At 48.0% G+C, this 15,452-nt stretch overlaps 1 pseudogene; it reads right to left on the bottom strand.

Moving 5' to 3' along the window:
* On the bottom strand, positions 8,756-9,357 carry LOC724065 (chromosome 19 open reading frame 53 pseudogene; annotated as a pseudogene).

Here is a 15,452-nt window from a genome sequence, read left to right as displayed (position 1 = left end):
ACATTGTGGAAAGTGCCTGAAGGAAACATAAGCGCTGAGATAAAGAATCACAGGAAGTATGGCTTTCTTTGGTGGTGAGAGGCCTCACCAAGAAGTGACATGTGCACTAGGCTGTAATGGAAATGGAAGCTCCAGCGCTGGGAAGAACTTTTCAGGCAGAAGATGCAGCAAGTGTGAAGGCACTAAGGGGGAAAAGGGCAGGAGGATTTAGGCAGCAAGGCCAGTGCCCAGCCCTGCGCTGGTGTGAGGAGCAGCTCAACCCAAGGCTGGGGTGACGTCTGCTGGGCAAAGGGTCAAGAGTGGGATCACAGGCATGGTCAGAACAATGGCTCCTAAGTGTCCACTCATCTGGGAGGAGTCAGTCACCACAGGGTAGAAAAGCATGGTGGGACAAAGTGTCCCTGAGCGCCAACTTGTGAGGCCGAGGTCCTCAGAGGAGGACAGCTCCCTGAGGGCTGGGGGTCTCCAGAAGACTTCTTAGAGAAACCTCCTGGAGGACCCCATTTGGACAGGTTGGAGGTGTCAAACAGATGCGAGCAACAAAAGACAGCAGTGGCCCCTGGCTGTCTGTGCAGCAGAGAAGAAACTGGTTCGCCACAAGGTAGGGATGGGGTCATAGGAGGAACCTTCCTTGTACTTTCTGAAGAAGAGGGAAAGGATAAGAAAAACCGCAGTATTTTTTAGCAGCCCACTCAGCTCCCAGCCCTCTTTTCCTCTTCCTAACTGAACCCTGGTTGGCCTTGGAACAGCCACCTGCTTTCCATGTACACACACACACTCATGTGCTCTGGAGGAAGTGAAGCCTCCAGTTCAAGGGGTAGGCCCCAATGGCTCACACCAACCGGCATATTCCATCTCCTGGCCAGGGTCATTGGTCCCAAAGACAGCCTGTGACTGAAGCCCATCTACTCAGAGGGATCACCAGGCCCTGGCTCAGTCTATGAGTTCAGCCACGAAGCATGGGCCTACTGGCAGTCATTGTAGACAAGAATAGAGGGATGGAAAGGACTGGGTCTCTGGTGACAGCACTGAGGCCCTGGACCAACGAATCCTGCAACCCACCCACCTCTGGACTTTCCAGTTGCATGAACCAAACATCACCTTTCATGTGATTAAACCTGTTTGTGTTGAGTGCTCTATTCCTTCTGATGACAGCAACAGTTTGTGGACATCTAGTATGTACTGGGCACTGAATTAAATCTTGATACACACTGTTTCATGCAGGAATCATCCTTCTCACTCTTCAGAAGGGAAACCTAAGGCTCAGGACATGAAGTAACCTGCCTCAGATCACACAGCTGGACATAGAAGGCCTGACTGCAGGGCCTGAATCTGGGCCTGGGCTCCTACCCCCCAGTTCCTTCAGTCCTTCAGGGACCAGCTTTCAGGGACCCATAACCAAGGGTCTGAAGACACCCTAAGTCAGAGACCTTACATCAGACATTACTGAGAGACTTTGGACTAGGACTGTGAGAGCTCTAAGTCTTGTTCGGGGAAAGTTGGGCAGGGCAGAGGCCTAGGCTTTGGGCAGCAGAGACCTAGGTTTCAATTCCAGAATCCCACTTAGTGGCCATGTAACCTTGGGCAAGTTACTTGCCTTCTTCAGCCTTAGTTTCCCCATGTGTGAAGTCAGAGTTGAATTAAGACCCTATTATCTCATCTATTAATTACTTTAAAACACTCAAGTATAGACAATGTGAAGGAAATGTAGACATGTGTATAAATTTACTTTCATTTTCACCCTAAGGCAATAAGTAAACAGTTGAAATTCCCTATCAGGAACCCATGCTCTAGAAGGTGCTATCAAGGACTTCATAGGGCTTATAGCCTAACCTCATGTAGGTCAGACACACCTGTCGTGGATAAAAAACAGGGTTCAAGAATCAGGGCTGGTTAGAAAGACTGTCCAGCATTCTAGCCTTTGCATAAACAGAGTTTAAGCATGCAGAAACCCAGAGGCACAGCACAGCTCTGGGACTAGAATTCCCTTTGGTTCTGTGTGCCCCAACCCCTACGTGATGGAGGGGTCTGCCACCTCGTGTTCCTAGAAGGATGGCAGGTTCTGCCACCAAAACACTGTTTCCTTCTCTTGAAGTGTTCTTACACACAGTGTTTGTCCAAATGCCAAGGACCCTCCACACTCACAGGCATGGGGGTGATGCTTTGGTGGACACTTACCTCTCATTCTTCACATGGTGGAATCTGGCCTGAGACTGACTCTCACTGCTGCACATCTCCAGGTAGCAAGAGGAAGATGCCAAGCTCCAGCCCAACAGGGTTTATTGGAAGCTATGCATCAAAACCAAAAATCCTGACAATTGTTGAATGGTCACCATGATTTAGATTCCTTCCCAGCTACTCCTTCCAAGTTGTCGGAGGATAAGAGACACGAAATATCAGCAAATGTTGTTATTATCATCATTCTTATTATTCAGGCCTCTCTCTTCTTTAATCAAAGAACATATCTATGATGAGGAAAGGTGCTGAGAAGTGGAGAGAGGAGAAAAGATGGGGGTTGTGTTTTGAGATTTAGAAGGGCACAGTGTGTCCAGGCAACACTCCCAGCCCCCAGAGGTTGCAATGTGTGTTAAATCTCAGGACACATGAGGCTCTCCCACTGGAGACAAGAGGTCATGAAGGCCCTCCACACCCAATCTCATGGTCATAGACAAGCTAAGCTACCAGAGCCCTTCCTTCTGCCACCCTCCAGTGACACATGACATTGAGATATGGTTGTTCTGGTGTGGGGACACTTTGTCATGGAGACACTTCAGTAATGATTATCAGAATCATAACATCAGCAATAAGTGTATTGTACCTGGTACCTGGTAAATGAAATCAGTGTTAGCTGCGTTCCTTCTGTGAATATTGTCGTAACAGGATACTGTGTGGAATATTCAATAGAGAAATTGAAGTTTTAAAAAACTAAGAAATTTGCCCACTCACAGAGAAAATGGCAACTGGGATTTGAATGCAGGCAGTCTCATTTCAGCATCTACATTCCTAACCACTGGTCTATAAAATACTAACACAATTAGGGGTGGAGGGTGACGTTACAGGAGCAGACAAACTGATTTTAAAGTTCGTGTAGAAAACTAAACCAACATATCCACAGAAATGGAAAAAGAGAGCTATGAAAAAGAGCATGCTATCTATTCCCAGTAATAAGAGTGTCACTGGCATATGCTCAGACAAATATCCCAATAGAACAGAATAAAAATATAAGAAATAGACCCTGCTATGTGTGGAAGTGAGGATGTGATAAATGTGACATCTCAGATCAGTGAGGAAAATATAGTTGAATCGATAAATAGTATGGGACCAACTGGGTGGCCATCTGGAGAAAAATAAAGTTGGAATCATGCCCCACACTATATTTCAGGATAAACATCAAAGGGATCAAAAACTTAAAACTAAAAACTACGAAACTACAAAATGCCTGGACGAAAGCAGCAGAATTCCTATAAAGCCATGGGTAACATCTCTAGTCAACACTCAAATTCCAGAACTCATAAAAGACTGATCCATTTGATTAATAAAAATTAAAACTTCTGCATGGAAAAAAATAATAACAAGCAGGCCAGGTGCAGTCTCATGCCTGTAATCCCATCCCTTTGGGAGACCTACGCAGGAGGTTTGCTTGAGGCCAGCAGGTCGAGATCAACCTGGGCAACATAGCAAGACTCTGTCTCTACAAAAAAGTTAAAACTTAGCCAAGCGTGGTGGCACACGCCTATGGTCCCAGCTAGGGATGGGTGAGGGATGGGATTGGATGAGGTGGGAGGATAGCTCGAGCCCAGAAGGTCGAGGTTTCAGCGAGCTGTGATTGTGCCACCTCAATCCAGCCTGGGTGACAGAGTGAGACCCTGTCTCTCAAAAAAAAATAACAATAAGCAAGAAAAATCTAAGTGGACATATTTATAAGCCATATCACAAATTGAGGGCTAATCTTTCTAAAATGTACAAGCTCTTACAAATTGCTAAGAAAAGGACAATCACACAAATGGATGTGAGTAGACAGTTCATAGAAAACAAATTTATGGTACCACAAACCCCCATGACACGGGTTTACCCATATAACAAACCTGCACATATACCCCTGAACTTAAACGTGAAAAAAAGAAAACAAATGTATAAATGACCCTTAACTCTATGAAAAGATACTCAGCCTTATTCATAATAAAAGTGCAAATGAAAACTACACTGAGATAATATCATTTGTCTAACAAAGTTGGCCAAGAGCCAAAAGTTTAAGAACTCACCTGTTGGACAGGCTGTGGAGAAACAAACTCCCTCACACGTTACTGGTGGAAGAACCGCCACAGAGGGCAATTTGGTAAAATCTATCAAAATTGCAATGCTTATACCCTTTACCCACAGTAATCCCACTTCTGAGAACTTATCCCACAGATAGACTTGCAAACATGTGAAGTGACATATTTATAAGGTTATTCACTACAGCGTAATGTATTATAGCAGAACAAGGTGGGAAACAAACAAACGTTCATCAGTAAGGACTGGTTGAATAAATTATGATGTTACAGTACATCCATCCAACAGAGTACTGTGCAGCTGTTCGGGAAAAAAAAGTAAGAATGAGGAAGCTCTTTATGTGCTGACGTAGAAAGAGCTCCAAGAGATATATTGTTCAGGGGCAGACCAGTGTTTACATTATACTGCTTCTGGTATAAAAAACTGGGAGGTGGAAAGGATTTTTAAACTAAAACTTATAAAACAAAAAATAAAAGTGCTTGCCTGTTAAGGATAGGGGGTGGTAATTGCACAGAACTAAAACTGGGAGGGAGATTTTTCACTCTAAAACCTTTTTGTGTAACCACATGAATATATTACCTATCCAAGAAAATAAATTTAAAAATTGTAATATTATGTTTTCAACTTTCTTCATGATTTACCAAGTACTATGTGAAAACAAATATCCTTCCCCACTTCCTCAGCCTCCTCCTATCCCTAATCCTGGAGTGAGGCTCAGGTACCATTTAAGCTAAAAAAAAAAAAAAAAAAAAAAAAAAAGAAGGTCAAAAAAAACTGATGGGTGTGTTACTTGGAAATTGCAAGAAGGGGCAGGTGCAGTGGCTCAGGCCTACAGTCTCAACACTTTGGGAGGATCAGGTGGAAAGATCACTTGAGGCTGGGAATTCAAGACCAGCCTAGGCAACATAGTGAGACCCCATCTCTATGAAAATAAAACATAAAAAAAAAACTAGCGAGGCATGGTGGCCTGCCTGTAGTCCCAGCTACTTGGAAAGCTGAGGTGGGATGATCACTTGAACCCAGGAGTGAGCTATGACCACGCCACTGAACTCTAGCCTGGGTGACAGAGCTAGACCTTATCTCTAAAAAATAAAAAATAAATAAAAAACAGCAATTTTGCATTTTGATGGGGCTGTATCAAAATGTCCCACATACAGTCACACAGATAGGAAGAGAGGGGTGGGAGGGAGTGCTTTGGATTTTGTACCTGGGCTGCAGAGAGTGCCCAGGTATAGAATTGAAAGCACTCCCTCCTGCCCAACCCCCACCCACACCACATGCTCTCCCTCCACCCCCACCCCAGCCCCTGCCCCTACTGGCGGGCCCTGCTTGCACCTTAGAATCACCTGGAAAGTTTTAAAGACAATGCCAACACCCCAACCACACACCAAACCAAGCAAGCCAGCTGGCCCTCCCTCACATCCAGGCGCTGGCTGTGGTCGTAGTGGCACATTTGTTTGTGTGATTGTTTGATTAGTGTCTTACTCTCTTAGACAGTGAGCTCATGGATCCAGCGTTTACCATTGTATACCATGTGCCGAGCGAACAGTTGGTATTCAATAAATATTAGTTAAATGAATGAAGAAAGGGAGGAATTAATTGTGGAATCCACGAAACGATGAAAGGAAGATGACAAGGCAAGGAGGTGAGGCAAGGAGCAGGCCTCTCAGGGAGACCCCATTAGGCCCAACAGCCCACAGTGGGGGGCCCAGGACCAGGGCTGACATCCACACCAAGACCTGACCCCTTACTTGGCTGTGATAGGCAACTTGTTTTCTCCAGGGAGCTGATGGATCCTACCAAGGGCTGAGGAAACATTGATCTTCAACCCTAATCACGGAAGGCTTTCTGATTGGTAGGCACTAAGCGCAGCCCAGGGGCAAGAAGCAAGGCTGGGCCCCTCTGCTCTGGACAACACCACTTCTGGAGCGCCCAGTAAGGACTCTCGTATTTGCACATGACAGAAACTGGCCAAATGGCAAAATGCCATACAGGTCACCCTGCCCTAGGCTTTTGGCCTTTCTCCTGAACATGCTAAAAGGAGTCATGAGCTGCCACATGGATTTAATAAACCAGATACCCATGATACAAACCAAGCTGACAAAGTAGTCCCCTAGGAGATCAGAGGTGTGGTCCTCTCCTTTGGAAAACATCTCCCCCTCCACCCACCAGTATAATAGCCCAGCAGCTCGTTGCCCAGGGAGGTATTGGGAGTCCTAGCAAGCCAGAAGGAATGGACCAGTAGACTAAAGGGCAGTAAGAGCTAATACCGAGGTGGACACAGGATCCAAGTTGAAGGAAAGTTGCTTCCCAAAGCCAAACCCAAAGTGGGAGAACTGCACACCCCCCAATCCTGCCTTCAACGCTAGCAATATAATGAATGAGCATTTATCAAAGTTTTCCTGAGCCTGGGGCTGTGCTAAACCCTATGTGTGTATTATCTGTAGGTACTCTTATTGTCCCCATCCACCAGATGAGGAAACTGAGGCACAGAAAGGCTAAATAACTTGTTTAAGTCTTTGAGGCTTTGCTGCGCAACACGATAGCCACTAAGGACATGCCACTATTGAGCCCTTGAATGTGGATAGTTTGAACTGGGGTGTGCTGTAAGGAACAGGATGTACCTGTGTCCCAAATAGCTTCAGATTGTATCCAAACTGTATTATTTGCCTGTCAGTATTAATCTTGTTTCTCTACTGAGCTCTGAGCACATGGAGGACAGGTAATCTCCAGGGCGTGGTGCCAGCCACCCCACGTGGCCTTGGTCAGGGTCAGCAGAGAATGACCATGGCAGAGCCCCAAGTGAAATCCTTGCTGCCCCCTGGGGGAGACTCTGTGGGACCAGATTGAATGCACTGACCTTCCTCGGCCCTGTGAGGCAGCGTCACCAGCTCAGTTCTGTGGGAAGAGATGGGGGAAGGGTCTGGGGACACTCAAAGTGGCCCAAACTCTTTCTGCTTGCTACACATGCTCAGCCCCAGGGGGCCCACAGACTCCCTTCAAATCCCGGCTCTGCTTCTCACGTTCTGCCCTTTCTGGTCATGAGATGGGAGGTATGGTGGGCTGCAATGGCAGCTCTGCAAGTGTCACCCTCCCTCCCTGCCTTTCCTGTTAGCCAGAGAAGCTGAGTGTATTAGTCCATTTTCACACTGCTATAAAGGCATACCTGAGACTGGGTAATTCATAAACAAAGGAGGTTTAATCGACTCACAGTTCTACATGGCTCAGGAAACTTATAATCATGGCAGAAGGTGAAGGGGAAGCAATCACCTTCTTCACAAGGCGGCAGGAGGGAGAGAGCTTGCAGGGGAAACTGTCCCTTATGAAACCATCAGATCTCATGAGAACTTCCTAACTATCACGTGAACAGCATGGGGGAACTGCCCCCATGATCCAATCACCTCCCACCGGGTCCCTCCCTAGACTCATGGGGATTACAATTCAAGATGAGATTTGGGTGAGGACACAGAGCCAAACCATATCACCAAGTGTGAGAATGATGACAGGGTCACAGCCAACTCTGTAGGAAGCCTACAACACCAGTCACCTCCAAGAGATGCCATATTCCACACAGATACACAAATTATGTCTACTAGCTACCCAAGAAAAGTAAAATCAACAGACCAGTGAACACTACATTTTGGGATGCAGCTTGGTGGAGCTGGGGATCTGGATTAGAAAGAAGCAGGGAACACTCCCCCTGCTCAGCACGGCGCCCGGCGTGTGGTGGAAGTTAATGCACACGGCTCATGCCCTGCACATGCTGTTCACTGCCTGGAACAGCTGCCCCACCCGACAAACCCCACCCTTGCATGTTGGGCTCTGGCTGCCCCTCTGTGGAACCATCCATGCCCTCCCACCGGGGAAACGGTGTCTCCCACCTCCATCCCACTGCCACCCCTTATACTGACCCCATGACAGTGCCCAGCCTGGTGCCACCCTCCCCACTTCTAGGGGAGTATTAGACACGAGGCCCTGCTTGGAGAAGCCTGTTCAGCACTGAAACAAGCACCGTTTTATCTCAAGCTTCCCATTTTTATTCCAAACACAAAATAGAGAAGTTTTATCAAGCACATTCAATCACCACTCTTCCTCCTTTCCTCGCATTCCAACAAACGCGATTTAAGCCTTGGCAGGCTCGAACAAATGGGAATCAAAATTCAAGTCACTTTACAACACATCCTGGAGTTCATTCATCCTCACGTTGATTGCTTCAGTCATCCTTCACCAAGCGTCTTCTGGGAGCCAGGGGCAGTGCTACACCGCGGCATCCCATGGTGGTCTCTGCCCTCCAGAGGCTGCCAGTCTAATGGGAAACAGCTTGCTGCGTCTTTAGTTGTCTGTCTATATGGCCCTGTGCTATGACAGAAAAATGAACAGAATGCTGTGGGAATACAGATGATGGAGGGAAGGACGAATCTGTCTGGAGGGATCAAAGAGGACTTCACGGAGGAACTGACATGTTAGCTGGATTTTTTTTTAAATGACAAAGCCAGGTTTATTGCTCTGGGTTGAACCTGTGAAGGTAGGACCTGGGAAGGGGGACAGGGGCAGATGAGATTGGTGACTGTATCTTCCTGGCCATTGCTGGGTTCTCAGCACCCTAGGATCTGCTGCCCAAGGGCCAGGCCCCCAATGAAGTTCTAGGTGAGACCCAGTGCTGGGGGACAGGGTGGTCTTCCTGACAATGCAGCCTGTGGGATCACCTGTAAGGTCCCATCATGGAGGTGGGGGCTGCAGTGTTGGCCTGTGCTGGGGCCAGCATCCTCAGGAAGGTGTCTTGTTGGAGGAGGTGGCAGCAGCCACCCCTTTCTTCTTGGTCGGGGCCTTCAGCAGTGCCAGCTTCTTGGGCAGGCTGTTGCTGGCTTTCATCACCACGGCATGTTCGATCTTCTTCCAGATCCTGACTTCTAGATTCTTCTTAAGCTTTTGCTGCTGACCGACGCACGCCTTCTCGGGAGCTGTAAAACGACCGTCTTTCCTGCGGCCCCGGTTCCTTTCAGAGGCCGCCGCTGCCTCTTCCCTGGCTTGGGCGCCTGGAACTTGCGCTGCCCCTGCGCTAGGATCCCGCACGCAGCGGAAGAGGCCAGCTGGATCTTAAAGGATAAGAAGAAAGGAAGAGATGTTCCAGGCAAAGGGAACATACATGAGAATGCAAGAATGTAGGAAAGGGCACTGTGAATTCCGAACACAATGAGAAAAATTCCACACACCTGGACTATAAGGTGCACGTGCAGGAGTATTGCTGATGAGGCCAGGGAGAAAAGTTGGGTCCACGTGTTGAAGGGCTATGTGTGTTGCTGTAGGTGGCAGGGAGCTGATGGTATCTATTTTGTAGAAAATTAACTCTGGGCAGGGTGCAGTGGCTCACGCCTGTAGTCCCAGCACTCTGGGAGGCCGAGGAGGGCGGATCACGAGGTCAAGAAATCAAGACAATCTTGGTCAACATGGTGAAACCCCGTCTCTACCAAAAATACAAAAATTAGCTGAGCATAGTGGCGGGCGCCTGTAGTCCCAGCCACTCAGGAGGCTGAGGCAGGAGAATCGCTTGAACCCGGGAGGAGAAGGGTGCAGTGAGCCGAGATTGTACCACTGCACTCCAGCCTGGCGATAGAGTGAGACTTTGTCTCAAAAAAAAAAATTTTTTTTCACTTCAAAAGCTGGGTGAAAATCAAGACTATTCTGGAGTGCATAAGGTGCCCTACTGGGCACAGCATATTGGACCCTTGCAGAAGAGCATTGACTCTTTATGTTAAAGGTCTGTTTGCTACAGACTAGACAGATAGGAGTGGGGAAATTAATCTCCTAAATAGGGGATGGCACAGGTGTCCCCACTCCTGCCTCCCATGGCCATGACAGGCATTGCTAATCAATCACAGCACTACTTTCTGGTGAGTCTGGTCTTGGCCCCAGATTCTTCCCAATACAGAGCTCCATGTTACCACTACAATTTAGCCGAGGCGGCACATGAAATGAAGCATATTTTCCATTATTACACCAGGGAAATAAGCCTATTATAGACGTTAGTCCAAACTAAGCAACATCAGCTAGTAAAGCTTAATGTAAAAGTTCCTAAGAAGTACTATTCAAAATAAACACAATGAGTTGGAGGGGAAGAATCAAGTTCATAGCCTTGAGAAAGTAGCATTTAAAAGTGCCCGGGGGCCGGGGGGTCTTGGGCCTCGAGATTAATTTTTTTCCAACGCAGCAGACCCACAGGTTAATCATCATAAAGCTGTCACTCTCTCCACCCTGCACTTGGAGATGATAAGAAATGTTCAAGGCCTTGCCACCGCAGGTTTTACCTTCCAATTTCCCCTTTCACCTGCAGGAGAAGGGAGTTGCAAAGTGCAATGTAAAAAAGAAATCAATTAGGATTCCTAAAGTGGGTGAGGGGCCAGCCATATTCCTGGTCCAGCCCAACAAGTCGGCTGTTCCCCTGGCTAGAACGAGGCAAGAATCCATCTGGCCATGGCCCCCTGCCCTGTCTCAGTCCAGAATTCCAGAAGGATAGCAAGGCTCAAGTTCTGAAGATCCGGGCTTTGTGCTTCAGGAGTGGCCTTTGGCAAGGAAATGGGACAAGCAAATACCACATTGGTCTTTTGATCCTCTGTGCTTGACCTCTGCCCAGGGCCTCCATTTCCTTTTCACACCTCCCAGCTCCACCCCAAAAAGCAGAAGAAAAGCAGTACTGGCCCCTGGGGTTCCCACTACCAAGTGCCCAGAAAAGCTGGAAAGGTGCAGGGAGAAGGAGTCCCACCCCATTCCCCTGAGCACGCCTCCACCTTCTGTGCAGGGCCCCACAAACAACTGTCTATTTGCTTCCTCTTCACCTAAGTAGGAGGCCCCAGCAGCTATGGCTGGTCCCTAATAGGGTGGGAGCCCAGCTCCCCAGACCCTAAGTCAGCCGGCATCTGTGAATCCTGAAGTTCCCTCACCCACAACGAAAACCCACAAGGACCCAGCAAGCAGGGCAGGACACTGGAAATCTCATCCAGTGTGGACTTTAGAACTGGAAGACATGCATGGGAGGGAGGGTCCTTCTAGACCAGGACTGAGTCCCCAACCCCCTAGAGGCTGAATCCTTAACCCCAGCCTCAGCTTCCTCCTCTATAAAATGGGAATTCTAATACTGACTTTGCAAGCTTATTGGAAGGATTAAAAACTGGGTACAGGAGGAGCCACCTAACAGAGTAGTTGGCACACAGCAGGAGCTCAGCACAGGCACAGCTACTAGCTGGACCATCTGCCTAGACCATGTGAATGGCAGGAGGCCTGGAGCTGTGGCTCATTCATACTGGGTGGTGGAGAGGTTGCTGTTTTCACTACCAAGTGAAGCTTCTGCCATGGAGCGTTCAATCCCTCAGCCCATGGTCACCCCTGAGGCCCATGAAATTTCAAGGAGATTCTGTAGGATTAGGAACAGAAGGAACTGGGCCAGCCTCCAACCAGCCTTTGCCTCTAGGGCAGTGGCCTTTGTGAGACACACTCACTGCCAGCACCCCCACCTCCCGGGCCACCTGAATGCCTGGCAGGGTTTGTTTTCCTCTAAGCATGACCAGGTCCATCCCAGAGCTGGGCAATCATTCAGGGAGTTCCCACAGCATCTGCCTAATATATGCGCCCCTATCACGTCAACCTCAGGCTGGGGTGGGACAGTCTGGGTAAATGACTTAATAGCAGGACAGTCACATGCCTGATATTCACTGCACCTTCCTCCCTTTCCACCTTTCCAGCCTCAGCCTGGACTCATGATAGAGAGACCCACGTATCCCACAGCAAGCGGGTTCCCCAAGCCATTCAGCTTTGGCCCCAAATACACCCAGCAAACCGAAAGCTCCTCAGATGGTTGTCTCCACCCTATTTAGGGACCATCTTATGCTCTTGGCACTCACTCTGGGAGACTATGCTGTATCCCACGCAGCTTATCCAAAAAGGATCTTCCCATTTCATCAAACTTTCCCTGTAAGCACTTGAGTAAACATTGCCTGTGACATTAAATTTCCAGTGGGTTTTTTTGTGTGTGTCCCCTACAGATGGGGCTCTAGACAGCTGCCCATTGCTTAATACTGCTAAGGTGCCAAGGTAATTTCCTTCTTAGAAACTCACAGCCCCACAAATGCCAGCCATTGTCCAGATGATGCCAGGTCAGACTCCAGCCCATGGCGGCAGCTTCTCTTAATCCCCTTTCACTGCTGAAAGGACACGCATATCTCCAAGTCATTGCAGCTTGCAAAATGCTTTCCCAGCTTGATCTCTTTTGGCCAAAGTTGTGGGATTTTGGGTGGGCAGAAGGCATCATCTTCCTCCTATAACTGAGAAAACAAATGGGCAGAAAAGTAGCCCAGGGGCCCATGGAGCTAGAAGTGGCAGAGAAATGGCAAGGATGTCTCTTGGCAGATCCAGAACACAACAGACATGTCTGTGCCTTGAATTTTTAAACTATTTACATAGTATTTAAGCTTCTTTGGCTACAAGTTGAAAGAGATAACAGATGGGACCCTCTGGTAAAGAGAGAGGTGAAGATTGGGCAAGATACGTAGAGACAGGGGAAATCTGCAGCAAGAAATAGTTTTGATAGTATGAATACGGACCATACATTGAGCACTTACTACATACTTCACATCCATCATCACATTCTACCCAACTTGTGAGAGGATATCATCCCCATTTTACAGCTGAGAAAACTGAGGCTCAGAGAAGAGAAGTGACTGTGCAGATACTCACCCAGTAAATGGAAAAGCCTGATACATACCCATGTTTTTCTGAACCCCTGACCCATCACATCAGTCACTACGCCGCTCCAGTTGCAGCCCGGTTCTGCCCCTTCCAGCTCCATGGGGTGCCGGGCTGTTTTTCTGGCCCTTTCTGTTTCCTCAATTGTAGGAGGCAGATCATGCCTTCTGCCCAACCCAACTCCCAGAACTTTGACCAAAAGAGATCAAGGTGGAAAAGCATTTTGTAAACCTGCAATGAACTGGAACTACCAAGCATCTCCCGGCCTTCCTGCTGAATCAGAGCAGATTCCTCCAACGGAGGATCTTGCCCCTCTTTTCTCCCACCACTCTACAGGGCACTGGTTCCTCCTCTTTTTCTTGGAAATGCTTCTAAAATCAACAAGATCATAGGCATCGAGCCCCAGTCATGCCAACATCAGGCGCCTGGAACCCTGAGCCCTGCAGGTCGGTCATTCTCATCGGCCCCCTCGCATGATCCAGAGCAATTACTTGCTTAAAATTCAAAGCCAGGTTGCACAGGGCCCCAACGTGGGAAAATGTCATGATTTTTCCCATGTGAACAAGTGACACAAAATATGAAAATAGCAGAGGGACTCCACCCCACCGCTGATTGGTCTCGCACAGCTAAAAAGGAGAACACGGTTTTATGACGGGACAAGATCAACAATGAATTGGCTTGTAGGGAGGAAAAGAGATGATATAATATTTTCTTGAGCTAAAGGGACTAAAAATAGTGTGAGGTTTTCCAAGTGATGGTGGTGGTGGTACTTCGGGATGTGGCTGCCAATCATATATTGCAACAGCTATTGGCATGTTCAGAGCCGTTCACAGGGACTGGCTGCTCACCCAGCTCCAGGAACAAGGAACAAGCAGAGGTCCGCCTGTCCCCATTATTGTACCTTTGCTCCTGCAGTGCCCCTCCCTGAAATGCCCTTCCTTCAGCCCACGCTGAATCCAGACATCCCATGTCCTGAGCTCCAGCCAGCTACTCTAGGCGGCATTTCTCAAACTTTTTCCCCAAATCACTCCAACAGCAGAGGAGAATTTGCAGGGGGCTGGGTGAAGGGTGAAATTTGAGACTTGTCTGTCGACACCAACACAAGCACTAAATTTCCTCCAAATCTCAGTTTCATCCTGAGAATTCATGAATGTCATTTACCTTAAAAAGTTTAAACTTATTTTAGTATTTAAAAATCAGTTTGTTTCCTGATGTCACAGTTATATGGTTACTCAGAAGGGCTGTTTGCCTTGTGCCATCAAGAGCTTCTTGGTCCAATGCTGCCAGTGTGGAGTGCCCCTCAGCGAGAAAACAAAGGCCTTTGCTGAGGACCTCAGAGCTTCTGTGGCCATTGAGGCAACTCATTCATTCATCCATCAATTCATTCATTTATTCATCCAATAGGTATTTACCAAACTCCTCCTCAATGCCTACTATCAGGGATACAGCAGGAAGGAGTCCAACCCTCCAGGAACCCCATCTCATGGAGGAGACAGACAAGGACACTGTGTGTCACAGCCTGGTGGCAAGTGCTCCAGCAGAGACTAATTATAGGGGCTTTGGAAAGTGGGCACCGGGGCTCAGGAAAGCCTTCCTTGCAGGGAAGGTGCACGCCAGGCTACAACCCAGCCTAACAGAGAACAGCCATGTGTCACGGGGCAAGCCGGTTAACCACTCAGTTTCTTCATCTGTGAAATGGGTATAATAGAATCATATGGCTTTCATGAGGATTAAATGTATTCAATTAAAGCAGTGCAAAGTGCTTACTATGGCACCTGATCCATACTAAGTGTTCAATAAATATTACCTATTGAGCTGGGACCTGAGGAATGGGTGGAATTGGGATGTGGGGGTGAAAGAGGAGAAGGAGGGAAAAAGAGAAGAGTATGTTTCAAACACAAGGAACAGCATGCTTAAGAACAAATATTCAATACATATTTCTTGAATGAATACATTCTATAAGGGAAATTAGAGTAATGCAATCTTGATAAGCCACACCCTTTGTCTATTGTTTCCTGGTGAGTGTGTGTAGGTGGCACTGAGTGGCACCTGAGCCAGGCACCCAAAGGCAAGTCCACTGCACTTTTCTAAGCAGGATATGAACTCCTTAAGGGCAGAGATCGCATCTTTCCCCTCTTGGGATCCCACATTTCTGAGCCAGGGTGAGCTGCAGGGTCTTATTTTTGTATCTCCAGGGGTGACTCATTCACCCCTCTCCTCCCTCTTTTGGCTATTTCACCACCACTTCCATCCTGGGGAAAGGCCTTGGCCAAGATCATTGGAGAGAACCAGGTGTCCCACTTCATGGAAGGACCTGAGTAATGCAGGCTGGGGGCAAACAGCCCTGGATTTGTATTCAAGTCCTAGCTCTGCCAGCAGGAGGCTCTGGGTCCTTGGCTGAGTCACCTGGGACACCAGTCCAGAGATGGTTCTCCCATGAGGAG

Source organism: Homo sapiens, chromosome 10 (assembly GCF_000001405.40).
Source record: "Homo sapiens chromosome 10, GRCh38.p14 Primary Assembly".
NCBI lineage: Eukaryota > Metazoa > Chordata > Mammalia > Primates > Hominidae > Homo > Homo sapiens.
This window is presented reverse-complemented; position numbering and strand designations above follow the sequence as displayed.